Raw genomic sequence first — 2,253 nt, forward strand, 5'->3', positions numbered from 1 at the left:
ACTTTCTCATGAAGCTTGTCTGTAATCTGCCAATAGACAGGAAAAATGAGCCACTCATAAGTAACATAAAACATAAGACCAGTCTGCCCTTTGGAGATCACCCAGTCAAGACATTTCAAATACAGCTGTTCTCACTTTCCAACCCTAATTGATTAATATCATCTGCTAGATTAGTCTTGTTCAGAATGATTCTGGGTTTGCGCTTCCACATCTAGAAGAAGTTATTAATTCTTTCTTACAACATTAGGACTTAGATTTTGAAGAAATTATTAACATTTTTAAATTAAAAAATTTAAAAATAACTGGGTTAGGACTCAATCTAGTGGCTCTGAAATGTGACTATAGCTTATCTAGGACATGTTGGACGTCATTTTTAAAATTGAGCTACAATAAATATAGCATAAAGTATATTAAGTATATTAATTTTAAGTATATAGCTTTGTGAAGTTCTGCATAAGAAAACAATTGTGGTGACTATCACCTTGATCAAGATGTAAAACTCTTGCAGCACTCCAGAAGTTTCCCTTAAGCCCTCTCCCAATCAATAACTCATAGGTAACCACCATTTTGTCTTCTATTATCATTGATTTGTTCTATATGTTCTTAAACTACATAAAAATGGAATCATAGATGAACTTGAAGATATTTCTATCAGTGTGGGCTTATTATTTGTGTCTGCGCTGGCAACTGATTATTCACAGTAAGTTGATTGAGAGCCCAATATCTTAGAAAGAGAAAACTTATTCTACTTTACAAAAGAAATTATTATGGAGAGAGGGTTATATTAGATCCTACGCAAACCTCTACTAATGTCAGTGCAATGCCTCTTTAAAACAGGTCTAAATTGGCACCTGTACCTAGAAAAGACTTTCTTAAAAACCAGATACTCTGAACAAACTCACCATATGGATAACTAGAAATGTTAGATAAAATATATAAAACAGCCTTGTAAAAGCAAAGATGACCTCAGAAGCCTCCAAATAAAATTGCCAAGGACCAGGAAGAAATTTTTAAAAACCTAAAAATGGCCAGGCGCGGTGGCTCACGCCTGTAATCCCACGCCACTGGGGCCTAGGGTCGCAATACTGGAGCCGCTCAGATTCTCAGCAGTCTTTCAGCTAGAATCTGCTTAAGCCTGCCGAGTTCCCAGGGGGACAGACGACAAGCACCACAGCTGTGACTGCCTGCTGTCTAAGCTGTTTGAGCTCCTTGTGGGAGGAGCAGCCAGCCAGCACTAGGACTGATAGCTACCTAATATGCTAAGCTCCCTGGGTGCGGGGGAGGGCGGCAGCAATCTCTATAGCTCCAGGCCACGCTTTTTCCCTGCTGGAGCCAGGGAGGCTGGACGACTTGATTCCAACAGGTGTCCCCCATATCCCAACACAGGGGCTGTGGCAGACTGCAGCCAGAGTGCCTCTTCAGGCCAGACCCTGACCCATCCCTCCTCACTGGGCGGGGCCTCCCTGCAGGAACTCCAACAACTCCAGCAACTCTAAGAACTCTAACCAGTGGCCCAGGGACAGAACTCTGATCTCCCTGGGCCTGAGCCCCTAGAGGGAGGGGTAGCCGCAGTCTCTGAGGACCAGCAGACTTAGCCTTTCCCCCTGCTAGCTGAGGAATCCGGCAGCCCAGACAAGTGGGATTCCCCACAATGAAGTACACCCCCTCCACCAGAGAGAGTTAAAGTGCTTCATTAAACAGGTCCTATTCCCTGTGCCACCCAACTGGATGAGACCCTCCAACAGGGGTTGTCAGACACCCTATACAGGACCGATCCTGCTGGCATCAGGTTGGTGCCCATTGAGGTCAGAGATAGCCAGAGGAAGAGCAGCTACCCATCTTTGCTGTTCTCCAGCTTCCTTGAGTGACATCTCCTGGCCCAGCCACTAACCAAATGAATAGGGCCTGAAGTGAACCCCCAGCAAACCGCGGTAACCCTACAGAAGAGGAACCTGACCACTGAAGAAAAACAAACAGAAAGCAACAACAACAGCATCATCAACAACAAAAAGTCCCCACAAAAACCCCATCCAAGAGTCAGCAGCCTCAAAGATCAAACCTAGACAAACTCATGAAGATGAAAAAGAATCATTGAAAAAAAGCTGAAAACCCAAAAGGCCAGAGTGCCTCTTCTCCTCCAAATGATCACAACGCCTCTCCAGCAAGGGCAAACAACTGGACACAGAATGAGATGGGTGAATTGACAGAAGTAGGCTTCAAAAGATGGGTAATTACAAACTGCTGAGCTAAAGG

At 44.3% G+C, this 2,253-nt stretch overlaps 2 annotated features.

Annotated features, from left to right (window-relative positions):
* Window positions 751-1,252: an enhancer, noted in NCBI's record as "NANOG-H3K4me1 hESC enhancer chr3:35546325-35546826 (GRCh37/hg19 assembly coordinates)". NCBI's record gives its function as "activates a minimal SCP1, AML or CMV promoter by ChIP-STARR-seq in naive H9 embryonic stem cells {active_cell/tissue: H9 hESC(naive)}" and the evidence as "EXISTENCE:reporter gene assay evidence [ECO:0000049][PMID:30033119]".
* Window positions 1,253-1,752: an enhancer, noted in NCBI's record as "NANOG-H3K4me1 hESC enhancer chr3:35546827-35547326 (GRCh37/hg19 assembly coordinates)". NCBI's record gives its function as "activates a minimal SCP1, AML or CMV promoter by ChIP-STARR-seq in naive H9 embryonic stem cells {active_cell/tissue: H9 hESC(naive)}" and the evidence as "EXISTENCE:reporter gene assay evidence [ECO:0000049][PMID:30033119]".

This window comes from Homo sapiens, chromosome 3 (assembly GCF_000001405.40).
Source record: "Homo sapiens chromosome 3, GRCh38.p14 Primary Assembly".
In the NCBI taxonomy this organism is placed as follows: Eukaryota; Metazoa; Chordata; class Mammalia; order Primates; family Hominidae; genus Homo; species Homo sapiens.